The sequence below is a fragment of the Homo sapiens genome, chromosome 4 (assembly GCF_000001405.40).
Source record: "Homo sapiens chromosome 4, GRCh38.p14 Primary Assembly".
NCBI lineage: Eukaryota > Metazoa > Chordata > Mammalia > Primates > Hominidae > Homo > Homo sapiens.
Genome location: NC_000004.12, coordinates 184,981,114 through 185,007,871, shown reverse-complemented (window position 1 = coordinate 185,007,871; position 26,758 = coordinate 184,981,114). Strand labels below are relative to the sequence as shown.

The window sequence follows — 26,758 nt, the reverse complement described above, 5'->3', positions numbered from 1 at the left end:
GTGGCATGCACCTGTAGTCCCAGCTACTTGGGAGGCTGAGGCAGGAGAATTGTTTGAACCCGGCAGGCAGAGGTTGCAGTGAGCCAAGATCAGGCCACTGCACTCCAGCCTGGGCAACAGAGCAAGACTCCGTCTGGTCATCCGCCAGCTGGAGCTGAATGTGGAATATGTTGTAATAGATCCGAGACAGCCAAGGGTACTGGTGCCCTGCAGGGGGCAGTGGTGGTGCCATCCTGCTCTTCTTTCTCATAGGTTAATCATGACAATGGTCAGGTGCAGATCGCAGCTCTTACTCCTCTGGGCACTAAGCTGCTCCTCATTCACTTAGTCCTCCCAATGGTGGGATGGGCAATTCGTTTATTTTACATAAGAAAACTGAGGCTTGGGGAACTCAAGGACATTTGACTCAAGGGCACATAACTGTTAGGTGGTGGAGCAGGGTACCGGATGAGGCTGATCTGACTCCAAAACCAGTGTCCCTTCCAGCAGTGTGCTGGGCCTTGCTGTCGCTTCAATCCCACTGAGATTAGAAGTCATAGGAAGGACTTCTCAGCCAAGAGACTTGCACTCACCTTCCAAAGACCGAGTGTAGCTGCTGGGTAGTAAAGCAGGGGAGCATGGTCTCAGTATGCCTGGGGACCTTGGAGATTTATTGTCCTTCTTATCATGCCCAAAGGTACAAATCACCAAAAAGTCATCAAATATTCAAATTCAGTCTGTTCTCCCCATTTCTGATACCCTTTTACACACCAGAAGCCTTTTGACAACACACATTTCTAGAGCCCATCACAGACCTAAGACTTAAAAAGAATCTCTGTAGATGTGAATCTGTTTCTTAAAAAAAAAAAAAAGAAAGAAAAACCCCTCAGGTGATTCTGATGCACACTGGGATGCACTGGTCCACGGTCCTGCATTTATTTGATACCATTGCTATACAGCAGCTTGTCAATAATGTGAGGTTATGTGTGGTTGTGTATTGACATTAGACATTGGCAGTTAGGATAATGAGCAAAGGTTTTAAAAAATCTTTTATATCATTTTTCTGGTAACGTATTAATAAGGCAATCTTTGGTCTCTTTTCTCTGCATTAGGATAGCTTGACTTCCTCACCCCTTAACTTACAGGCTCAAGTGTAAAGTCTGTTCATGAATGGATAAAGAAAATGTGGTTCTTGGGCTGAGCGTGGTGGCTCACACCTGTAATCCCAGCACTTTGGGAGGCCGAGATGGGCGGATCACCTGAGGTCAGGAGTTTGAGACCAGCCTGGTCAACATGGTGAAACCCCGTCTCTACTAAAAATACAAAAATTAGCTGGGCTTGGTGGTGCATGCCTGTAATCCCAGCTACTTGGGAGGCTGAGGCACAAGAATCCCTTGAACCTGGGAGGTGGAGGTTGCAGTGAGCTGAGTTCACACCACTGTACTCCAGCCTAGGCAACAGAGGGAGACTGTCCAAAAAAAGAAAAAAGGAAAGAAAATGTGGTTCTTATACACAATAGAGCAATATTCAGCCATAAAAAAAGAATGAGATCCTGTCATTTGCAACAACATGGATGGAACTGGATGTCATTACGTTAAGTGAAATAAGCCAGGCCCAGAAAGACAAACTTTGCATGTTCTGTGGGATCTAAAAATCAAAACAATTGGATGGGTGCGGTGGCTCATGCCTGTAATCCCAGCACTTTGGGAGACCGAGGCAGGCGGATCACCTGAACTTAGCAGGTTGAGACCAGCCTGCCCAACATGGTGAAACCCCGTCTCTACTAAAAATACAAACATTAGCCATGCGTGGTGGCGGGTGCCTGTAATCCCAGCTACTCAGGAGGCTGAGGCAGGAGAACTGCTTGAACCTGGGAGGCGGAGGTTGTAGTGAGCCAAGATCGGGCCACTGCACTCCAGCCTGGGTGACAGAGGGAGACTCTGTCTCAAAAAAAAAAAAAAAAAAGATCTCGTGGACATAGAGAGTAGATAGACGGTTACCAGAGGCTGGGAAGGGCAGTAGGATGGGGGGTTGGGAGGTGGGGAGGGTTGATAGGTACGAAAGTATAGTTAGAATGAATAAGATGCAGTATTTGACAGCATGACAGGGTGACTATAGTCAACGATAATTTATTGTACACTTAAAAATAACTGAAAGAGTATAATTAGATTGTTTGTCACACGAAGAAAGAGTAGATGCTTGAGGGGGTGGATACCCCATTTACCCTGACGTGATTATTATGAGTTGTATGCTTATATCAAAACATCTCATACCCCATAAATATATACATCTGCTATGGACTCCCAAAAAATGTTTAAAAAGAGTAAAGTCTGTGCAGCCAATGTAAAGCTTGCCTCAACTGCAGGGCTCATTTTGAGAAAAGACAAAAGCTATTCGTGTTCTATGACGGTGGAGCTGGGAGCCGCGACCCGGTGCTGAGGCTCCCTCACGACGTGGGCACATTTGGATCCATCGAGGGTTGGCTGGTGCCCTCTAGTGGTTGAAGCGGTTCTGCCGCTTCTAAGGAGAGGCTGGCTGGGGAGGAAACTGGATTTGGCCGTTTCTTGGCGGGACACCTCGCCGCTCTGGCTGCAGTGTTTTAATGTATAAATAAATAGGAAGGTTGGATGACGGTATCGGTGAACAGGGAGTCAGTACGTCCGCCGGGCTACCCAGATCAGGCCTGGGTGGAGCCTAGGCTGGAGGTGGGGTGTGCCCTGCTGGGTCGCACAGGGCTGCCCCCTCCACTGGCGTGTGAGTGCTCTGAGCCTGGGGCCTTGGCTTGGTCATGGTACCCTCGCACCTGGCACAGTGCCTGGCATGGAGGGAGTGCTAATACATGTTTGTTGAAAGGTAGGTCGGGCTTGACTGCGTCTGCTCAGGAGGTGGCGGGGCAGGAGTGAGTCTTGTGAAGTGGAGCTCGGCACTGCAGCCCCTCACACACTTGGGAGCAGGTGGCGCGCTGTTCTCGAGGAGCAAACGCGCTGGATTCTGACGCCTGACCTGACGCTTGGTGTCGCCGGGATCCTTCAGCCCCCAGCATCTGCGGGCTGGCAGGTTCTGCCTGCAGGAGTAGAGCCGGGCTCCGTGGAGCAGGATCTCTCGGAAGTGCAGGCTGCAGGAGTTCTGCTCTCCTCTAAGGGCCTTTGTTCCTGGTCAGCCTTCCCCTGGTGAGAGTTGGCACAGTTAGTGGAAAGGGCACAGGCTGCCTCGAGCCCTGGGGGCTGGTGCTGACTTTCCACTGGTGCAGTCTGACCTTGAAAAGTCCCTTTCCTTGTGATTTCCTTTCATGCCAACAGAGAGGCTCTTCTGGGATGAGTGTGGTCACGGCGGGGCCTTTCTGCTTCACTCCATCCCTCCCGTGTCCTGCAGCTGACGGGACCCCCGGCACACCTGGAAGAAACCACAGGGAGGGAGACACACACAGGAGGAAAGAAAGGGGGAAAATGGGAAGAAAAGGGAGAGGCATGAAAGAGAGCAGACAAAGGAGGGAGGAAAAGGAAGAGAATGGAGAAGATAAACACATCATAAGCAGGTCTCAAGACTTCACACATCATCACCAAAGGCTGTTTTTACTTGGGGTGATGCTTAATTTTTTGTGTGAACCTGGCTGCACCATGGTACGCAGATGTTTGGTAGAACACCAGCACAGGTGTTGCTGCGAAGGTATTTTAAGATGAGATTAACATTTACATCAGTAGACTTTAAGTAGGTTATCCTCTGAATGTGGTGGGCCTTGTCCAATCAGTTGAGGGCTTGAAGAGAAAAAGACTGAGGTTCCCTGAGGAGGGGTATTCTGCCTCCACACTCACTTCCTTAGGACTCAAGCTGCAACAGCAGCCGTGCCCTAGGTCTCCGGCCTGCCCACCTACCCTGCAGATTTGGGGCTTGCCAAGCCTCCACAATCGTGTAAGTCCATCCCTGAAGACAAACCTCTGTCTGGCGTTGCATTCGCTACTGGATAGAGGGGTAAGCAGACCCACCTGTGAGGAGCATGCCGTCCAGTGGGAGTGAATCTGCCACCTCGGGGTCTTGCACTGGGTGAGAGGTTTGGTGATAGACCCGGCGGAGACACGGGGGAGCGATGACTGGGGAGCAGGTGTGGTCAGAAGTGACCTCGAGAGGGACGGTGCTGAAGGGAGTCTTGGCTGAGGAGGGGCACCTGCTCTAAGCACCACTTGCTTTTGCTGTAGGTACGTCAAGTGGAGGGAGCTGTGCAAAGAAGGGCCTGGCAGCGTGGAATAGCTGACGGGTGAGGCTTGTGAGGCCTGAGGAGTCTCCCCAACCCGTCTCCACTTGTGTCTGCACTGACTTCTCAGTTTTCTGTCACTTCTTCGGAGAAGCCTTTCTGGCCACTCTATTTGATCGAAGCCCCCTAAGATATGGTCCCATAGCATCAGGTACCTCTGTTGTCATACATAGTCACAGTTAACATTTATTTGAGGGATTACGTGATAAGTAATCTGTATCTGATGCCAGAATGGATTGGAAGAGCTTGCTACTGGTGACAGGTGAAAGAATTAGGAGGCTCTTGCCAAAACCCATGAGGGAAATGATGGAGGTGGAAATAATGGGGGCTGCTTTGATGCTGAAAAGGGAATGGACTAGACAGGTGTCGAGGACATGGGTCTGTCCCCATCGGAGGCACAGACCATTTCTTTCCTGCCTATTATGTCCCCCTCAGAACCTAGTGTGGTGGCTGGCAGAGAGCGAGGACCGAACAATGTTGGTTGAAAGGATGAAGGAAGGACTGATAGATGCCCTTCCTTGCACACACGGTGCTTTCTAAATCATGGTTTAGGGGCTACACAAGTGAATGGCTCCATTGCATCCCAGCATTGTGTCTCAGTGCGAGCCACGGCTGTTGGATCATTGCTGTCAGGGCTGAGGCATTGCGACACTTCCGTGTCCTGTGCTACATTCTAAAGGCTGCTCTGTGAAGGTCGGAGCCAGCCGGACGGTATGCACACAGAGAGGTGTCCTGTGGATGACAGGTTTGGGAGATTCCTTATTTCCCTTTCTGTTAAACAGAAAGCCTGGTTCCATTTTGGGACTGCAGGCTGAGAGTATGTCCTTCCTCAGACTTGCTCTGGGAGTGAATCCCGACACATATCTGGTTTGCAGTATGTGCCAGGAATGGGCTTAGGCACTTCACACACGTTATCTTACGTAATATTCATAATTCTTTGAAGAGGTACAATCTTAATTTTTTAGTGCAGGAAACTAAGACCATAAGGCTAATGACCTCCCCAGGGTCACTTGGCTGGTAAATCCTAGAGTGGGGAGGGGCATCCCGCAGGCTTGAAACCCCTCTCTTTATGCCAGTGGGTCTCAACCCAGGCTGCCCACTCCAGTCCCCTGGGGAGCTTTCCTCTAGGCCCGGGCCCGTGACATTAGACGCTCTGGGGTGGGGCCCAGAATGAGAGGCTGTCAGAGCTTCAGGTGTTTCCAGTGTGCAGCCAGGGTTGAAAAGCAGCACCCCACAGCCTCAGCCTCCACCTGTGTCTCCTAAATCCAGATTCCTGCCAGGCCATTCCACCTGGATGTCCCAAATTTGGGACATCCTAAACAGCACTCCCTCTCCAACAGCCTCGATTTAGAATTCCTTCACCAAAACACTCCAGACAGAAATGCTTGAGTTGTTCTTGACTTCCGCTCTGCTCTGACCACAATCCATAGACATTAAGTTCTGTTGATTCCTTCCTGACACCCCTTCACTCCGACCCCCGCAGACACCACACTGACACCCCACAATTTCTCATGGGTTTCTGCAAGAGTCGCCTTATTTTTTTGCCCATCACCAGAAAGCTACTACGTACTGGTGTTAGGGTGATCTGTCTAAAATGCTTAATAGCCTTCAGTTGCTTCCATTGACTTTAAGAAAAGTATCCCGACTCCTCTCGTGTCGTGCCTTGCCCTGAGATAGCAGTCCTCTCCTGCTGTGTTATTTCAGGCGGCCTGCAGTGTTAAAGTACTCGTAGTTTTCCCTCCAAGCACTCAACGCCCTGTGCCTATCTGCCTCCGCACAGGCAGTTTCTCATGCTTATAATGCCCTTCTTTCCTGGGCAAATCCAATTCATCCTTCAACACCCTATTCAGAGGCGCCCTCTTCCAGGAGTCCCCTTAGACCACCTCTGCCCAACAGGCTGGCTTAGGTATTTTTTTTTGAGATGGTGTTTCACTCTTGTTGCCCAGACTGGAGTGTGATGGTGCAATCTCGGCTCACCGCAACCTCTGCCTCCCGGGTTCAAGTGATTCTGCCGCCTCAGCCTCCCGAGTAGCTGGGATTGCAGGCATGCGCCACACCATGCCCGGCTAATTTTGTATTTTTAGTAGAGATGGGGTTTCTCCATGTTGGTCAGGCTGGTCTCGAACTCCTGATCTCAGGTGATCCACTGGCCTCAGCCTCCCAATGTGCTGGGATGACAGGCATGAGCCACCGTGCCCAGCCTCTTTCTACCCTTTCTATGTACCACAATTGTAGCACTTTAAATTAGGTTGTATTTTCCTATTTGGTTGTCTGTCTTCTCCACGAGATTGAGAGCCTCTTGATATTGGGCTTTGCCTTACTCATATTTGCATTCCCTGACCCAACATTGCCCAGCATCACATGGCCACACAGCATGCCTTTGCAAAATCAAGAAGAGCTAAAAGATTACATAAAGCATGGACTCTGACCCCAGACTGCAAAAACATAATGCCAGAGGACTGGGTCCAGTGGCTCACACCTGTCATCCCAGCACTTTGGGAGGCCGAGGCGGGTGGATCACCTGAAGTCAGGAGTTTGAGACCAGCCTGGCCAACATGGTGAAACCCTGACTCTACTAAAAATACAATAATTAGCCAGGTGCAGTGGTGCATGACTATAATCCCAGCTACTCAGTAGGCTGAGGCACGAGAATTGTTTGAACCCTGAAGGCGGAGGTTTCAGTGAGCCGAGATCATGCCACTGCACTCCAGGCTGGGTGACAGAGTGAGACTCTGTCTAAAAACAAAACATAATGCCAGAGAGTTCGGTAGGATGGCTTGGAGAAAGGAGAAGAAAGGTGGGAGCCATCGGAAAAGATTCTAGTATCCTGGGTAAGAAGTTGTAAGCTTAGAATAAGAGTTTAGGCTATAGGGCCAGGCATTCTGGCTCACACCTGTAACCCCAGCACGTGGGGAGAACAAGGCAGAGTATTGCTTGAGGCCAGCAGCTCAAGACCAAGCAGGCAACATAGCAAGACCTGTTTCTAAAACATAAAAATTAAAATATTTTAAAAAAGAGAGCTCAGGACATAGAAACGGGGAGGAAGACATGATCCTAAAAGAAGCAAGAAAGGCAAAACTTGTGATCACAGATTATTTTCTGGTAAAGGTAGGGACATTTTTAGACAACCTCCTGCATGCATCCAAATACATTTTTTTAAAAAACCCCAACTACCTACAAAATTATATCAGGGGAATATCTGGTTATAGGTTCTTGAACTATTTTTAGTTAGGAGCTAAGTATCTATATCTGAAACTACAGTAAGACTAATGTAGAGGTATTTATCATATTCGTGACAAACATGGTCTTCTATGTCTTGGAGAAATCCCCATATTATGAATTCTCCTCTTGAAGGTAGAAGCTACAATTCAATGTCCAGCCTCCCTAGAAGCTACAATTCAATGTCCAGCCTCCCTAGAAGCTAGAGCAGAGGAATTGACCTGGGTTCTGTCAGTCAGACTTTTATTTGGAAGAAGACAGTATAAGAAAGGAGAGCTGTGTGGAGTCTCTTCCTGGAAGGAGTGGTGTGTTGTGGTGGAGAGAAATCCAGCTTTCAGAATAGCAGTGGCAGAGGTTCTCATCTAGTCCTCCATTGCTCAGTGTTAGGGGTGTGAACTGCAGGGTCAGTGCCCAGGTGTGATGGGCCATGCCTGAGAGAAGTTCTGTGGGGTGAATGGATATTGTCCTGGCTTCATAGCCCCCTGGACAAATTCTTTGGCTCTCCTTGAAATACTGTGAGCTATCAAATACCCTTTAGTAAACTTATTTTCTAAATAAATTTCTAACAGAATCACTAAAGTGGATTCTGTTGCTTGCAACCAAAAACCCTGACTGATACGATTGCTTATATATAAAAGTGTTCAGAAGAATGATATGATCAAAATTGGAAACAAAATACAAGCTACAGTATAACAAGCAAATACAAATAGAAAGTAGAGGTCTCAATGTTAATATCAGACAAGATGGAATTCAGGCCAAAAAAAACATTAAATAAGTGCACTTTATAATGCAAATAGGTGTAATTATTAAGAATATATAATTGTAATGGGTGTTTATGCATCAATAACATAGCAACTTGGTTAACAAAGTAGAAATTACAAGAGATAAAGGGAGAAGGTAGAAACTACATTAGTAGACTACTTCTTCTAGTTTGTAACATTAAGTAAGGTAAATCTAACTGATATATATTAAATAAACTGTACCCTGGAAACAGAAAATGAACTTTTTAAATGTCCAGGTTACATTTGTGAATGACAGATATTCCAAGAGTATAAATAGTACAGGAAATATTTTCTGATGATCACGTAATAACATCAGACATTAACAATAACGCCAGAAAAAAACCTCCCTTCCACTAGGAAATTCAAAAATCTTTATTTTCATATTGAAATGTTTGTAATAAGATGATAAGATATCTGGGATTTGCAGTAAGATGAACCAAAATTTGTCATATATTGATAATCATTGAGCTGTGTAATGGGTATATGGAAATCCTATATCCTATTTCTCTACTTTTGTTTATGTTTGGAATTTTCAATTTAAAAAAATTTAAAACCATTTTTATCAAATACTCTCTTTTTTTAGATGGAGTCTCACTCTGTTACCCATGCTGGGGCTGGAGTGAAGTGGTGGGATCTTGGCTCACTGCAACCTCCACCTCCCAGGTTCAAGCGATTCTCCTGTCTCAGCCTCCCAAGTAGCTGGGACTACAGGCGTGCCATCACGCCCGGCTAATTTTTGTGGTTTTAGTAGAGAGGGGGTTTTGCCATGTTGGCCAGGCTGGTCTTGAACTCCTGACCTCCAGTGATCCACCCACCTCGGCCTCCCAAAGTGCTGGGATTACAGGCGTGAGCCACCACACCCAGCCCAAATACTCTTGATATAAAGAAGATATAGATATCAAAAATTGTAAAATTTCTAGAAAACAGCAATTATGAAACCTGTAAAAAATAAGGCAGAGCTCATGGGAGATTTTAGTCTTAAGTATTTAAATCAGTCCAAAAAGGAATAATGGAAAAAAGGTGAATTAGTATCCAACTCAAAAAATTAAGAAAAGAAAAGAGTGCAACAAAATACACCAAGAAAAGAGGGGACACATTAAACACAGATAAAAGCAGATAATACTGAATTAGAAAATGGAAAAAGGTAGTGCCAAATCTAAAAGCTGGTTCTTTAGTACAAAATAAACCACTGGATGACTAGAACTAACTGGATCAGAGGCTTATTAAAATAATGCTAGAATGCATGGCTTTTTACCCAGAAATGTTTGCAGTGATTGCCCAATTAGACCATAAACTTGATTATACAGATGTTAATAGCAAAGGCAGACCCAACTCAGAATACTCATGCAGGAGGGAAAGTATTTTGAAAAAGGAATTCTGAAAAGATAAAATGAAGCAGTTGCACCATAACTGATTTTCAGTTAATTTCTGCCTAACATTGAGATGTGTCCACGGGCAGAATATTTTTCTTTCTGCTTATTATTTTGGCCTGGATGACCTCTCTTAGTTCTTGCTTCTACTTACCAGAACCAGATATAAGTAGCAAGTACAGCCTCCTGCAAGCCATGGCGTACCTCAATTTCAGCACTAAAGTATTAGGTTGGTACAAAAGTAATTGTGGTTTTTGCCATTGGGGATTATAAATCATTCTACTATAAAGACACATGCATACATATGTTTATTGCAGCACTGTTCACAATAGCAAAAACTTGGAACCAACCCAAATGCCCATCAATGAGAGACTGGATAAAGAAAATGTGGCACATATACACCATGGAATACTATGCAGCCATAAAAAAGGATGAGTTCATGTCCTTTGCAGGGACATGGATGAAGCTAGAAACCATCATTCTCAGCAAACTAACACAGGAAGAGAAAACCAAACACTGCATGTTCTCACTCATAAGTGGGAGTTGAACAATGAGAACACATGGACTCAGGGAGGGGAACATCACACACTGGGGCCTGTCAAGAGGTGGGAGGCTGGGGGAGGGAGAGCATTAGGATAAATACCAAATGTAGATGACTGGTTGATGGGTGCAGCAAACCACCATGGCACGTGTGTACCTATGTAACAAACCTGCACCTTCTGCATATGTATCCTAGAACTTAAAGTATAATAATAATGTAAAAAAACACAATTGCTTTTGCACCAAACTAATACTTTTTTTGATAAATTTCTAGCTAGCAACCTGAGGCCAGTTAATTTTGGCCTCTCATCCCCACGGTCTCCAGCCCCTTGACTGCTGTTCCCTCTCTCCTTTCTGCCTGTGCTTCCTCTCCCCAGCTCGACATGGCTCTGTTGAGGTCACCTTGCTGCATCTCGCCTCTTTCCCTCCATGGCTTGGATCTATCATCCCTTGGAAGTACTCCACCTGTGGGAGTCCATATGCCTCTCTGCCATAATCCAGTCTCTCCCAGACCTTCCAGCTCTCTCATTAAATATTCAACAAAAAATTAATGAGCACCCGGTGTGTAGGAGGGACTGTGCAAGGGACTGCGATACAGCGATGAACCACACAGGCATGGTCCCTTCTCACAAAGACCTGCACCTGGGGCAGAGCACAGTGATCCAATGATGACTTAACTAAAGGCTTAGTTACAACCAAGGCAAATGCTGTGAAGAAAGCACCACTTCACATCCCATCTCCCCCACATCCTCCAAGTCTGATGAACCACTTCCTATGTTCACTTTTGTCCTTTCTAGCCCAGACCCCACAGAACAGCAATTCCAACACTCTCTTACCAGCTCCCTCCACTCCATTGCCCTCTGTTCTTTGGCAAACCACCAAGCATGGAGTAAATTAATTTATTATTATGTATTTTGAGATAGGATCTCACTATGTTGCCCAGGCTGGATTTGAACTCCTGGGTTCAAGCAGTCCTCCTGCCTTGGCCTCCTAAGTAGCTGGGACTGCAGGTGTGAGCCACCTTACTCAGCAACATGGAGTAAATTCAGATTTACATCTTCCTTCTTTATACCAGGAACCTGAATGATGCTGATGAACCATACTTCAGCGTGAATGGGAGCCCCAGTGCTTTGACTCCAACTGCACTGCCCACTCCTTTTTTTTTTTTTTTTTTTTTTGAGACAGAGTCTCACTCTGTTGCCCAGGCTAGAGTGCTGTGGTGTGATCTCCACTCACTGCAGCCTCTGCCTCTCAGGTTCAAGCAATTCTCCTGCTACAACCTCTCGAGTAGCTGGGATTACAGATACATGTCACCACACCCAGCTAATTTTTGTATTTTTAGTAGAGACGGGGTTTCACCATATTGGTCAGGCTGGTCTCGAACTCCCAACCTCAGGTGATCCACCCACCTCAGCCTCCCAAAGTGCTGGGATTATAGGTGTGAGCCACTGCGCCCGGCCTGCACTGCCCACTTCTTAGCAATGTTCACATACACACTCTTCATCTCCACAGCGGCCGCTCCACACTGCTCCGTACTGTCTCCAGATGATCTCACCCTCTTTTCACAAGGTGCCTTTGTGACTTACTTCACAAAGAAAATAATCACCGCCGTCAGGAACTCTCCTCTCTTGCTCCACCCACTCACCTGTCTATGTTATATTCCTTCTCACCTTCTTCCATCGCTCTGATAAGGGCCCCTTCCGTCTCTAAGGTGAATTTCTCCTCCCACTGCCTCCTGCCCTGCCCCTGTGCTCTGGGTCCCATTTAGTTTCTGCTCCTAAGAATTGGTTCCGTTAGTCACGCGTCTTTTTCCATGTCATCTTCTCTATCCCTCATTGGTCCCTTCCCCTTAGCAGACAAACACACTCAACGTTTTCACGTCCTGAAACAGACAACAATAAAATTCCCTCTCTTGCCTCTGGTTTTCTTTCTAGCGCTCTATTTCCCTCTGATTGCTTAGCCAAGCCCCTGGCAAGAATGAGCTCCATGGATTCTGAATGTTCCCAACACAATGATAAGTGTTCGAGGTGATGGATCTGCTAATTATGCTATTTGATCATTGCACATATATACATGTATCAAACTGTCACACTGTACCCCATAAATATGTATAATTATTATGTGTCAATTAAAAGTAATATTAAAAGGAAAAAAAGGCCGGGCGTGGTGGCACACGCCTGTAATCCCAGCACTTTGGGAGGCCGAGATGGGTGGATCACGAGGTCAGGAGTTCGAGACCAGACTGGCCAACATGGTGAAACCACGTCTCTACTAAAAATACAAAAATTAGCCAGGCATGGTGGCGCGCGCCTGTAGTTTCACCTACTCAGGAGTCTGAGGCAGGAGAATCACTTGAACCTGGGAGGTGGAGGTTGCAGTGAGCCGAGATTGTGCCACTGCACTCCAACCTGGCAACACAGCAGGACTCTGTCTTAAAAAAAAAAAAGAAGGGTTCCATTCTCTGTCTCCACTCACTGTGTCCACCTCTCTTCTGCTTACAACCCCTGCTGAAATCCTCGGTTTCCATTTTCACCAAACCAGTAGAAGTGTCCCGTACGTCTTTGTGGTCAAATGCAGTGGCCCTCTGAGTTCTTTTGGCACTTGGTACAGGTGAGCCCCTCCTTGCTGGAACTCCTTACTCTCTTGGTTTTCATGACACCACTTCCCTGGTCTTTACGGTATTTCTGGCCTCTTCTCAACCTCTTTTGTGAATTTTTGGTTTTGCCTCTGTCGTCTTTTAAAGCTGTATCCCCAGGATTCCGGCCTTGCTATCAAGGTTCTTTGTCTACTCTTTCTACTCAGCTTGAATGATTTTGCTCACAACCAGGTTTTCAGCCGTCATCCCCCTGCTCTTTGTGCCAAGTTCTCTCGCCCATTCTTTCTCTGGAGAGCTTCCTCCTGACCTCCAGACACACTCCCCCACTTGGCTATGCCCTTGGCAGATCTGTCATGCTCCGCATTTCGGGCCTGCATCCGTCTTCTTCCTCTCCACACCTCAGGACACGCCAGGATTTCTGTCCTGCGCTTCACGTCTCAGTGGATTGCAGCACTGCGGACGACTGCCCAGAGAGAAAAGCGTTATCACGGGGGCCTTCTGCCCCCCACTTTCCAACACTGCTGACACTTTCTCTGAAATATATTCACCCCTGCCCTCTAAGCAGCACCTCTTCCCACTCCAGTCATGCTGCCAAAACCTAGGTTCAGATGCAGAGAGGCCGTGGGCCAATTTCCAGCCTCCTGCTTCCATCCTCTCCCCATCTATGCTGGCCTTCAAAAAAATCCGAACAGAACTTTGCGTCCCACAGATCGGATCATGCTTTCTTCAGCAGAACTTGTCCTGAGCTCCCCGTGGGCTGTAGAACAAAGCCTAGTATCTTTCCCCTCGGGCCACGGCCCTTCATTGAGGTCCCCACTGTGGTGTCTTCAATCCTGCAATCTATGCTCCCACAGCACGGACTTGCTTGCGACACTCTCTACTGAGGGCACCCCTCTTCCGTTTGTCCTTCTAGCAGATGCTTCCTCTTCCAAAGGACGTGGCTCCAATGTGCCTTCGGGGAGGCACCTCAGAGATGCTCGGCATGCGCCTCCCACTGCCCTTCCTTCACGACTCCATGGCAGGAATCGTCCTGCAGTGCCGTCACCTTTTCTCAAGTCTGACAGTCAGCCCCTGCGGACCAGATGCCACATCTTCCTACAGGGATGTCCCAAGTTTCTAAAGCAGTGCCCAGGACCTTGCTAATGCCCAGTAGATGTTTGCTGGGATGATCTTGACCTCCCAAACTCCTTGTTAGTTGTTGCCTCTTTCTCTGTTGCAAACACAGCTTCCGTGTCAGGATTGCTGAGGGGCTGCCCCACCTCTCAGAGATATTTTCTCTTCCTTCTCCTTTCTTCACCATGTAGGTGTCCCTTCTCCAGTCTCTCTGTGGGGAGAAAATTCTCTCTCGTGTCATATCTGGAATTTTTCTTCCTTCTATGTCCTCTTGACACGTGGCTTGTTATGTGAAAATGTCCTCTGAAGTCCCCAGCCCAGCCCAGCTCTGTGGCGGGGCAGAGGGGGAGCCTGGTACCAGGGTCATGGGAGCTCTCTGGCCTGGCGTGCCCCCTTGCTGGGTTCATCTCAGCTAGTGGGCTTTTTGTATCCCAGTGCCAACTCTTGGGCTATTTCCTTTTCTAGTCTTGGTTTCAAGTTTCTTCTTCTGACATTTAATTACCAGGAAGAAAAGTGGGAGGGACATATTTTCTCAGAGAACTCCATGACTGTAAAATCACTGTGCCTGGTGTCAGGGGTGTGGCACCCACAGGGACAGGGCTGGATGCTGCTGTAGCTCGTTCTTGCTTCCCTGTCACACTGGCCTTCTCTGCAGAGGTCAACGCCCTCCTACAGACCCCCTGCCTAACTCTCCCCAGCCTCTTACTTTTTATCTCAATCAGGCTAGAGAAAAATATTCTGATCTCCAAACTGGGACCCTCAACAAAGGAGGTTTTATTCTTTGCGAATTTGTTTGCATAATAAGCCTTAATAAGCCTTACAATTATGTTGCATTTAGGTGATATCTATAATAATTTTATTGAAAAGACATAAATGATACTAAATTGGAATTGTTAGAGAATATGGACTGTAAGCTTGCTGAGGAAAGTAAAACCACTGCAGAAAAAGGATTTAAAGGGGCAGAGAAATAAAATACTCTATTTTAGCCATATTTTCCAGTAAGAGACATTCCAAAGCCGACTTCAATCAAAACTGCTTTTGTATTAGTCAAGAGTGTTGGCATGTACAATCTATCATTTAAAAATAGTTTCCAAATACAATAGAAAGTGAGAAATGACAAGGTCCGTGAGAGGATTCCTGTGTGCTGTCACTAAGTGTGTGTGTCTGGGAAGTCGAGGCAAGGATGTGTTATAGGTGAATTGTGTCCTTCGGAAGGATACGTTGACGTCCTGTCCCCAAGAACTAACCTTGAAAGTACAGTCACTGCAGATGTGATTCGTTAGGACAAGGTGATGCTGGAACAGGGTGGACCCGTCATCCGATATGACCAGAGTCCTCAAAGAAGACGGCGTGAGGACATGGAGGACACCATGTGACAGCAAAGGCGGAGGCTGAGTTTCGCCATCGCCAGCTGAGATCACCAAGGGCTGCAGCCACACAGAAGCTGAACGGCGGGGAGCGGTGAGAGCCTGGCCCTGCCACACTTCCATTTTGGACCTGCAGTGTCCAGCACCGTCAGTGAACACATGTCTGCAGTCTGATCCAGTTTGTGGTAACATGCTACAGCAGCCCTAAGAAACTAACAGGCAGGAGATGAATGTCCAAGGCTGTGTGTTTCTTCCAAGGGTGAAACCCAGTTCCTGTGTGGCCTCGTTCACGGCACCATCCGGGTTAACACTCCGGTAGTTCGGCTTGCCACACTAAGGAAGCGCTAGTGAAAACTAATGCAGGATGGCTCCACGCTGAAATGGGACACATTGTTTATAAATTGTGGTCAATTCATACATATACTTATTTGTCTTTTGCCAACGACACTACCCTATAATTAGGTATCTTTCATTTGTGAAAGGGTGTGGCGGATGTTGGTTGATGTTAGGTCAGTTTAATAAGAAACGATTTGCCAAGATTTAATGTTGCAGAAATAAAATTTGCCTGATGATAAATTCATTGAATTTACCGCATTTGCTGACTTACTAAATTTATCATTCATGTTGAATCGCTTTAATAGCAAACAGAGCTCTAGAAAGAGTTAATTGGTTTTCAGTTTTGTTGGTGTTATCTAGCAGTATTTAAGTAAGGTTCGATTTCTTGAAGGCTAACAGTTGAGGGTAATATAGTCCTCTATGAATGAATATATTTAGAATCCAATAATGCATATTTTACCATCAGAAAGCCCAGTTTCAGGATTTCATATGAAAACTTTTTCTGTTAGAATATCAATGTTTGCTTGACAAACTTTTCTTCGGATAGTGGTTATAAGATTCTTTTTCCAGCTTCTCAAATACTCCATCAACCTTCGCTGGTGATTTCTAGCCATTAGTAGTCCAAATATTAGTACATGTTAGAGTCATTCCTGTCACTTCCTAGTTTGTTTCTTACTCTATCCTTATTTTAACTTTTAAAACACTATTTTACTATCTTTTATTCTTCGCATTTTTGTCATTATGGTATAGGCATATTACATTTGAGGCACTCATCCTACAGTCTTTTGTAGTAATACCTTCAGTCATCGCCACCTTGAAAGGTTTTATCTGTTCACATTGAATCTTTCTCCAAACTGTCGCCAAGCCTGTCTATCCCTAAGCTTTCTGTTAGAGTTCAAAATGTGAGCACTTCTTAAAATCTAAGCGTTTATAAAAACACTTAATAGTCTGGGTGTGGTGGCTTACACCTGTAACCCCAGCACTTTGGGAGGCTGAGGTGGGCAAGATCACTTGAGGTCAGGAGTTGGATACCAGCCTGGCCAACATGGTGAAACCTGTCTCTACGGAAAAATACAAAAATTAGCCAGGCACACAGGTGATGTGTGCCTGTGGTACCAGCTACTCAGGAGGCTGAGGTGGGAGAGTCACTTGAACCTGGGAGGCAGAGGTTGCTGTGAGCCAAGATTGTGCCAGAGTGAGACCCTGTCTCAAAAAGAAAAACAAAACCCAAAAACACTTAATAAATATAGTAGTTGATGACTTTAACAATGCCGTGTGCTGCTTTCAATGGTTTCAACAGCCTGAGTCTATTTTATAGTTTTAGTTATAATTTAGTAATTTAGTTCTAATTTAGAGGTGATGGCTTTGCACCAGCCTCTGTGTAGCCTGCCCATTGAACGTCAGTTTCCTGTGTTTCACATTTCAGATTCTGTGAGTCCTCTTTTGCATAAAACATAAGCAAAATATTCATCTGATAGAATAGTTTAACAAATCTGTGGATTGGGGGAAATAAAAAGGCAATTGATTAAGTTGCAAGTATGTCATTGGAAGAAAGAAATGCAACTTGTCATTTATGACATCATTATCACTTCCATATAGCCTGCCCTGACACTGCATAATCTAACCCCTAACACTTCACTGTCAAATCTGAGGCGCAGGTAGTGATTTTGAGAGGTGACAGCGTGCTGGCAGTCCTCACAGCCCTCGCTCGCTCTCGGCGCCTCCTCTGCCTGGGCTCCCACTTTGGTGGCACTTGAGGAGCCCTTCAGCCCACCACTGCACCGTGGGAGCCCCCTTCTGGGCTGGCCAAGGCGGGAGCCCGCTCCCTCAGCTTGCAGGGAGGTGTGGAGGGAGAGGCGCGAGCGGGAACCGGGGCTGCGTGCGGCGCTTGCGGGCCAGCTGGAGTTCCGGGTGGGCGTGGGCTTGGCGGGCCCCGCACTCGGAGCAGCCGGCCGGCCCTGCTGGCCCCGGGCAATAAGGGACTTAGCACCCGGGCCAAGGGCTGCGGAGGGTGTACTGGGTCCCCCAGCAGTGCCGGCCCACCGGCGCTGCGCTTGATTTCTCGCCGGGCCTTAGCTGCCTTCCCGGGGGGGCAGGGCTCAGGACCCGCAGCCCGCCATGCCTGAGCCTTCCACCCCCTCCACGGGCTCTTGTGCGGCCCGAGCCTCTCTGATGAGCGCCGCCCCCTGCTCCACGGTGCCCAGTCCCATCAACCACCCAAGGGCTGAGGAATGCGAGCGCACAGCACGGGACTGGCAGGCAGCTCCACCTGCAGCCCTGGTGCAGGATCCACTAGGTGAAGCCAGCTGGGCTCCTGAGTCTGGTGGGGCCTTGGAGAGCCTTTATGTCTAGCTCAGGGATTGTAAATACACCAATCAGCACTCTGTATCTAGCTCAAGGTTTGTAAACACACCAATCAGCACCCTGTGTTTAGCTCAAGGTTTGTGAGTGCACCAATCGACACTCTGTATCTAACTAATCTGATGGGGACTTGGAGAACCTTTGTGTCTAGCTCAGGGATTGTAAACGCACCAATCAGCGCCCTGACAAAACAGACCACTCGGCTTTACCAATCAGCAGGACGTGGGTGGGGCCAGATAAGAGAATAAAAGCAGGCTGCCCGAGCCAGCATTGGTAACCCGCTGGGGTCCCCTTCCACACTGTGGAAGCTTTGTTCTTTCCCTCTTTGCAATAAATTTTGTTACTGCTCACTCTTTGGCTCCACACTGCTTTTATGAGCTGTAACACTCACTGCGAAGGTCTGCAGCTTCACTCCTGAAGCCAGTGAGACCACGAGCCCACCGGGAGGAACGAACAACTCCAGGCGCTCTGCCTTGAGAGCTGTAACACTCACCGTGAAGGTCTGCAGCTGCATTCCTGAGCGAGTGAGACCACGAACTCAGCAGAAGGAAGAAACTCCAAACATACCTGAACATCAGAAGGAACAAACTCCAGACGCGCCACCTTAGGAGCTGTAACACTCACCGCGAGGGTCCGCGGCTTCATTCTTGAAGTCAGTGAGACCAAGAACCCACCAATTCTGGACACAATTACATGTGAAAGTGTTAAAGCACCTCTCAAGTCAGAATGAATTCCTTACAGGCCAAGGCAGCTGAAGATGATGTCTCTGGCTTCGTTGCTCTTTTGTTGGTTGAAGACAGGGTATGGGTGACATTTGATTCAGATTGGGTCAGAATTCGGCGCTGTGATGTCGTGCGCAGCTCCGGTCTCCTGTGACTTCCCAACGCAGGGGCTGGAGAGGAGGGCATAGCCTCCAAGCAGCCCTCAGCAAACCAAAGACCCAAGGCAGCCAGACAGGCAAACAATGCTAATTAAAGTGGTTTCCAAGCGTTCCAGAGTATGTGGGAGAAACTATACCCTTGGAAATGTTGAAATGTTTTCTAAGCAAGCACATCCAGTTCCCGGGCAGCTCCAACTTGCTTGGCTCTCATTTGCCCGACGGCTCAGCTGCAATGCTGCCTAGGAAAACAATCATTGAAAGTCACACAGGTAAGGCGTGGTGTCACAAATCAGTCACTCCCTGCTGCTTGCCACAGGGACAAACTGATGACGTTGCAGGAGACACAGATGTCTTTACCTCTGAGTGGGAGACTGATGTGGCCCCACTCTCTCCATAGGAAGCTGTGACCGAGGACAATGCTCGGAGCAAACCTCTGGGTGGTTCCCAGAATGTGGGGTGACCCAGCTGCATACATGAGCCTGTCACACCACCCCGGGCTCCCTGTCACCAGCACTCATCTGGGCGGCACAACCTTCTCAGAGTGGACTGGGAATGTTCTCATCATACTGCATGTATTCATTTTCTATTGCTTCTGTAGCAAATTACACAAACTTGGTAGCTTCAAATGACACAAATTTATTCAGAAGTCCAAAATCGGTTTCATGGAGCTAAAGTAGAAGTGTTGGCAGGACTGGCCTCCTCTGAAGCCTCCAGGGCAGAATCGCTTTGCCCTTTCAGCTTCTAGCAGTCACCCTGATTCCTGCACTTGTGGCCCCTTCTTCTGCCTTCAAACTGTCCCTCCAGTCTCTGCTACCATCATCACAGTCCCTACTCCTGTTCTGTGATCAGATCTCCCCCACCTCCCCACAAGGACTTTTGTGATGACACTGGGCCCACCTGGATAATCAGGAGCATCTCTGCATCTCAAAACCCTCAACTTCATCACATCTGCGAAGTCTCTTTTGCCATATAAGGTGACATGTACAGGTTCTGGGGATGAGGACATGCGTATCTTTAGGGGCTGTACTCAGCCTTCCACACTGGGCCAGGGTGTGCACTCACCATTGATGAAAGCTCAGTTTATCACCCACCATTCCCGGAAACAGGTAAAGCCAGGGGAGGGCTGGGGGAGATCCTCCTTCACCAGAGCTTGCAGGGACCATACAACCATCTTGAGTGGGAATAGGTCTTTCAGTGCTGTTGCTGCTACTCCTGCAAAACACAAACACATGCACACACGCACGCACACTCACATGCACACTCACACAGGCATGCACACACTCACGGGCACACACGTGCACACTCCACACACTCAAATGCACACACGCATACTCACACTATCACACATGCACACTCACGCTCACACACATGCACACACTCACGGGCACACTCACACACGTGCACACTCCACACATGCACACACTCACGCACACTCACACTATCACACACGCACACTCACGCTCACACACTCACATGCACACTCATGCACACTCACATCCACAATCACACACATGCACACTCACACTCACATGCACACTCACACATCCACACTCACACGCACACTCACACTCACACACACTCACATGCACACTTTCTTATCACTAGTAAGCCATCTCGCTGGTTACATTTCATGCCAGTTTATTTTCTCCAGTGAAAACCCCAGACTCTGTCACTAGAGCTGGTCTGATTTGAAGGCCTTCACCAACCTCAGTGCCATGTAGAAGGGAGAGCACTGGGAATCACACCAGGCAGTGGATTGCGGCCCTGGTTCTGCCATTCATTGTTTAACCTTGGCTAAGCCACTTCATTTCTCCAGGTTCAGCTTTTATGCCCCAATCTGAGTTTGTCTAGAGCTGGATTTCCATAGAATGTGGTGTATAGCATAACAGCTGCTCCTTGTAAAGAAAGGGTATCTTGACCGAATACACTGGGAAACTGTTTCAGCGTGCATATACCTCCATCCCTCTTGGAGAGTCATAATGTACATAAACTTGGCAAAGTCTCTGAGAAGTCCTGCATAAATGCAGTTGGGTAACTCTTTAACCTAGTATTTTGTAAACCATTTAAAAATCACAGAACACCCTCGCTTGTTTTTTTCTTTTTAAATACTGAAGAGCGGACTTTGAGAAATGCTCATCATGGTAGTCTCTAAGGAAATCAGGATTCCTGCTCCATTACCTTGAGGGTGACTTTTGAAATTGAGATGTTTTGCCAACAAGCTGCCCCCTGAGAAAGGTGGAAAATGTCTCATGTTGCCTTACCTGGCCTCTTGGAGGCCTTGTTCATCTTCATCATTAATCTTAAGGGGTGCCAGGCCTGCAAGCTAGAATCCATGAGCCAGCCCTGATAGTGAGATGCCCACCTTATAGAGGCCCTTCTTCCTGCCATCCTCCCTTTAAAACTCATTTTCATTCCCCAAGGATTTCTTCATTGTCTTCTAGGAGCTTAGGCCTGGGGATGGGGACAACAGAGAGACCTTGAGAAACTTAACATTTCTGTTGAGCAAATGACCATCTCCGCACAAGCCAGAGAAAGGAAAAGGAACAGCCAGGCACTGAGCCTTGGCCAGGAGAGGGCTGTGCTTCCTTCATTTTAATTGAGCCTTGTGAACATCTTCTGAGGTAGATGTTACTCTTCCCTTGAGAAGGCAGAAGCCCAAGGCCGAGAGAAGTTAAGTCACTTGTCCAAGGCCACATGCTTAAGTTGTGGCAGAATCAGGATTCAGCGTTGCTCAGATGAGGTGTAAGAAGGCGTGGCACATACAGGTAGACAGGGCCAGACCTGGGGGAAGAAGGAAGGTGCACACCAGGCTGGAGGAATCCGGGACTGTGGGGAGAGCCGTGGCTGGGAGGCAACATAACATCCAAGTTCAAGTCCTGGGTCTGTGCCGTTAGCCTTTTTGGTTTTCTCAAGTGAGGACACTGGAAACGATGCTCTTTTAGCTGTGAAGTTAATGAATCCACTTCTAGTTAGGGGGTGAGACTTGAGCAAGTCTGGGAAAGAGATTAGAAGGCAGAGGCAAGCAGGAACAAAAACCAGAAAGTGAAGAAAAGCTTGTGTGCACTCAGAAAAATATCCAGCGCTATCTGGCAGACACCATGCTGGGACCTGTGCGCATCACAGGGAACAAAACAGAGCCAAGCCCTGATCTTCATGAAGGTTACACACTTGAAGGGAGACACACAAAACTGAAAATATTAGAAGGTGATGAGTGTCAAGGAAAAAAAAATGCAAAGGAAAAGGAACCAGGAGTGGGGTTGTATCCTAGATAGGATGGTCAGGGAAGGCCTCCAGTGAAGATGATATTTGAGCAGAAACTTGAAGATGACCGAGAAGTGGATGGGGTAGATTCTGGAGTATCCTGAGCAGAGGAGCAGCCTGCGTGTAGGTGCTGAGGTGCGGAGACGCTGTGGTTGCCATCTTCAGGGAGGGACAAGGAGGCTACCAGCAAGTGGAAGGTGAGGGAGGAGGAGAGTGAAGAGATGAGGCTAGTAATGTTGACCTCTTTCATTATGCAAAAACTTGGGGAGAAAAGTTCAGTGGTATAGGCATTCTATTTGTTGGATACAAATATTAGAAATTTTAAAATAAAAAGTTTTGTGACTTAGTCCAAAATTCTAGAGGACACGGGCCTCGGTCCTTGGTTAGACTCTGTGTCCAAGAAACAAATAGCATCCCAAGAATTGCCTCTCCCTCTCCCTGGGGACCTAGGTACCATGTCTCTCTTCTGCTCTCTCAAGGATATCCAAGGCTCTGCGCATGACTGAAGCATGCACAGACAATGGTTGGTAACATTTGTCACATTTTTACGTTGCTTTACATGACTTTTGTCAACATTGATGTGGAAACCAGACTGTCTAGCATCACATGAGTTGGTTGTAAAAGCCATGGGTTTCTTGTTATTTAGAATGGCTTTTCCTAGCACTGGACTCCTCTGACTTTACCACTAATGGTGTGCTCTTGATCCAATCACTTAAATCACTCTGAGTGTTGCTTTATTTGTCTATTAGGTGGGTGGGTGTAGACTAGATGATTAGTAAAGTTCCTTTATTAAACAGATCTGAAAACCCCCTGTTCTACCCTTTCTAGCAAACAACATTCCTTTCACCCAGTGTCTCTCTTCTCAGAGGTCAAACTGGTAATTATCCATCCCTTTTGCCTGTGTGTACGACATGCATAATTCATAGGTAGCCTTGCAAAATGGAAACGGGTGTCCATTCCCTGGTCCCCACATGACTAGTGCTCATGCACCAGAAAGGTTACCAAGGACAAATTCTGTTTTTCTTCCACCTCCAGCCCCTCTCATTTCTACCAGCCCCCAAGACGTCTATATAATAATCAATTGCAAGACTATTTATCACCCATTTATACAATGTTAGATCCTGTAGTTCCATAGCCTCATGTGACAGCTAAGGACACTGAGGCTCAGAGAGATGGCTGACTTTCCCAAAGCCACAGAGACATGCCATGGGGCCGGAATGAAACTGCAGTTTCTGAACACGAGCTGAGATTCCTTCCCCAACTTCTTGTTGCCTCTATTTTGCCAAGTACTAACCGTGCCCTGCAAATTATAAGATGTCTAAAAATACGTTTTAAGGATGATGATGGAGAATTCTGAAAAGAAGCTTTTTTGTTTTGTTTTTAAATACGCCCTCATAGATCCAATGCAGTTGAAACGGCGATCAAAGCCAATTTCCCTAGAAACACCAGATCGAAAACACGTGGTGAGGCTCTGATCTGTAGTGCTTCATCCTAAACAATACATTTTACAAACCCTGAAAAATAAAGAAAAAGGAAAGACTCAAAAGAACATTCTGGGCCTGTCACGGTTGCTTTTCATCCCTTTTATCACTAGGTGTCCCCTTGGTTTGCAAAGCCCATCTGGAGGGCTGCGTCCCTGCACATCCTTCCCGGAGTGCAGGTGCGGGGAAGAGTCAGCCACAGTGGGAAGCTTCCTGCCCGGTGGGCCGTGGAGGGGCGGGGCTTCCTGAAGGGGCGGGGCTTGTGTGCTGGCAGAGCCACTCGTCTGACACAGAGGAAGAGCCATCCTTGAGCTAAGAGGATTGGCTGTAATTAACATGGAGAGATTAAATGGGAAAGGAACACTGTCAAAAACCAATTTCCACCACAGGAAATGAGCGTGGCCTAGAATAGATGCAGAGCGTGATTGAACTGCAGGACGGTCTCGGGAGGGTGGGTGAGCGGGCACACATCTCCCGGGAGCCGCCCCAGACCTGTGCTTGGGACCACTGCTGAGTCAGATCCATGGAGACGGTTCTTTGAGGATGATGCGGAGAAACAGGATGCTAGGCGTCTTTCGGGGTAGGCTCCTAACTGTAACGATCCAAAGCCATTTTTATTACTTAATGTCTAGTTTCTAGGGTCCCATGGGAGCCACAGCTCTGGGCACCCCCACTACTAGCCCACACTTAATCATCAGCCTGTTGTCTGGATTCCTGCCCTTTAGGAACTCAGGGTCTAGTGGGAGGCACTCACACTCGTGGAGAAATGAAAAATTGTGCAAGGGCTTTAAGAGATGTGGCTGCTGGGGGAAAGAGATGTGGCTGTGCTGGGGAAACTTTCCTGGAGGGCCTCAAAGGATGAGTGAGCTTGCCAGAAAGGGAGGCACGCTAGCATCAGGCACAGAGTGTGAAGGGTGCAGCAGGCACACCTTGGAGAGTGGCTGGAGGGCTTGCAGCTGGGAGGCTGGTGGGAGAAGAACTGCACAGTTGGCCTGCAGGTCAGACACTGAGGGCTGCAGGGTTTGAATGGATCCTTTGATGGCCTTAAACAGATTGGTCTCAGGAAGGCAACCCTGCGGCAGAGTGGAGGGCAGGAGAGGTGGAGGCTGGAGGCTGGAGGCAAGGAAGTCTGTTGGTGGAGGGCTGCAATAAGCCCAGGGAGTAGGTGGAAGCCTCAGAGACAGTCAGGCAGGATGCCCAAATCTTATTTCTGACCCAGTGTCTATGGGTTTGGGGACCAGCTGGCTGGGGATGGAGGAAGACAGGGAGGAGGGATGACTCTCAGCTTGCCAGTTTGGGAGATTGCACGGGTGCTTCTGAGGGAGCTGAGAGTTCTGTGTTGAGGCTTGTGGGCTGGAGGCACATGTGGAAAATTTAGTAGGGATGTCCAGGTTGCTGGAAATGGAGGAGTGGAGCTCAGTCCAACTTGGCGAGAGATTTGGGGATTTTTGGAGGCTGGGGAGTAGCTGAAGCTCTCGAGACAGGTGAAGGCAGGCAGATCACTCGGAGCTTTTAAAGGCTGTGTGAGCTATTTGAAGTCAGAGTTGCCACCAGATCCTCACATCTCTTTGCAAGTGTAATAAGTGACAGTGGCAAGGGTTGAGGTGCAGCTTTTTTTACCCACCATAAAGATCCTGCTTCCAATGCTGATTGAACCATCCACGCTCCCACAGAGGCAAGTCCTGGCAGCAAAGAATGTGGAAACCCATACAGGCAGGAGGCAGACAGCCCGAGAGGGCCAGAGGCGGATGCCAGGTGCATCCAGATGTTACCTGGAGCACTGGCATCAAACCTGCAAAGGGGTCTAAGGTCAGGATTCCCGTTCCGGGGAAGGGTGTAGGGAGCAGGGCAGGAGCTCTGGAGCAGGGGCAGGGAACTGAGGCAGATACTCCAGCATGAGGAGCAAAACAGGACTCTGTTTCCTGGTACTGGGGTATAAGGCAGAAGGCCCAGTGTTCACAGCAAGGTTAGAGAGAGTCAGAGTGGGCCCTATAGCTGGCTCACTGGATGCTGGCTGCCAAGCTACTTATTGGTCCTTCCATTTCTCCTGCAAGTCTAGAGTTGTAGACTTGCACTGTCCAGTATGGTAGCCACTAGCTTCATCTGGCTATTTATTTATTTATTCATTTTTTAGAGGCAGGGTCTCGCTCTGTTGCCCAGGCTGGAGTGCAGTGGTGTGGCCATAGCTCACTGCTCTCTCAACATCCCATGCTCAAGTGATCCTCCTGCCTCAGCCTCCTAAGTAGCTCGGGCTACAGGCATGCACTACCACACCCAGCTAATTTTTAAATTATTTTTTAGAAATGGGAATCTTGTTATGTTGCCCAGGTTGGTCTCACATTCTTAGCCTCAAGCAATCCTCTTGCCTTAGCCTTTTAAAGTGCTGGGATTACAGGCTATGAACCACTGTGCCCTGTCTTATGTGGCTATTTAAATTTATTTATTTATTTATTTATTTATTTATTTATTTAGCGACAGAGTCTTACTCTGTCACCCAGGCTGGAGTGCAGTGGTGCAATCTCAGCTCACTGCAAGCCTCCCAGGTTCAAGCGATTCTCCTGTCTTAACCTCCTGAGTACCTGGGATTGCAGGTGTATGCCACCACGCCTGGCTAATTTTTTGTATTTTTACTAGAGATGGGGTTTCACCATGTTGGCCAGGCTGGTCTCGAACTCCTGACCTCAAGTGATCTCCCCACCTCAGCTTCCCAAAGTGCTGGGATTACAGGCATAAGCCACTGCGCTTGGCCTTAAATTTAATTTTTAATTAACAAAACTTGAAAAAAATAAATTCAGGTTCTCATTTGTACTAACTACATTTCCAGTACTCAGTAGTGACTTGTGGCTAGTGTATGTGACAGCACAGATGCAGAACAGTTCCCGCCATGGCAGGAAGTTCAATTGTACCACGCTGGGCAGTGCTGAGCTCTGGCCTTTGGGGTGGAGTGATGGGAGTCAATGAGGCAGCTTATTCCTGACACTTCAGAGGTCAGGAAGCAGAGAGGTCCTATAGTCGCCTATGTTTTGTGGTGGGATGTAAGAGGCAGCAACAGGACTGCCCTCCCTCACTTCTGCAAAACACTCGTGGTTGCTCCCTTCCATGTGCCAGGATTCCTGAAAGCCCCGTGGACACTCCTTTAAAGCACTGCCTCCAAAGAAGGCCTTGTAAAAATACACGTGTGATTTTAAAATGTTCATGCACTTGGATCCGATGATTCTACTTCT

The 26,758-nt window shown here is 47.8% G+C and overlaps 1 long non-coding RNA gene across 1 annotated transcript, besides 2 other annotated features; it reads right to left on the bottom strand.

Moving 5' to 3' along the window:
- Positions 1-2,092: 2,092 nt before the first annotated feature.
- LINC02437 (long intergenic non-protein coding RNA 2437) lies at positions 2,093-18,525 on the bottom strand. Its single transcript, XR_001741949.1, has 2 exons — positions 18,406-18,525; positions 2,093-3,372 (listed from the first exon to the last, which is right to left on the bottom strand). It is a non-coding gene; the product is annotated as a long intergenic non-protein coding RNA 2437 (long non-coding RNA).
- Positions 2,704-2,763: an enhancer, noted in NCBI's record as "active region_22245". NCBI's record gives its function as "activates an Ori minimal core promoter by ATAC-STARR-seq in GM12878 lymphoblastoid cells {active_cell/tissue: GM12878}" and the evidence as "EXISTENCE:reporter gene assay evidence [ECO:0000049][PMID:35858748]".
- Positions 23,583-23,877: an enhancer, noted in NCBI's record as "tiled region #11336; HepG2 Activating DNase matched - State 12:CtcfO, and K562 Activating DNase unmatched - State 12:CtcfO". NCBI's record gives its function as "activates a minimal TATA promoter and a strong SV40 promoter by Sharpr-MPRA in HepG2 and K562 cells {active_cell/tissue: HepG2 | K562}" and the evidence as "EXISTENCE:reporter gene assay evidence [ECO:0000049][PMID:27701403]".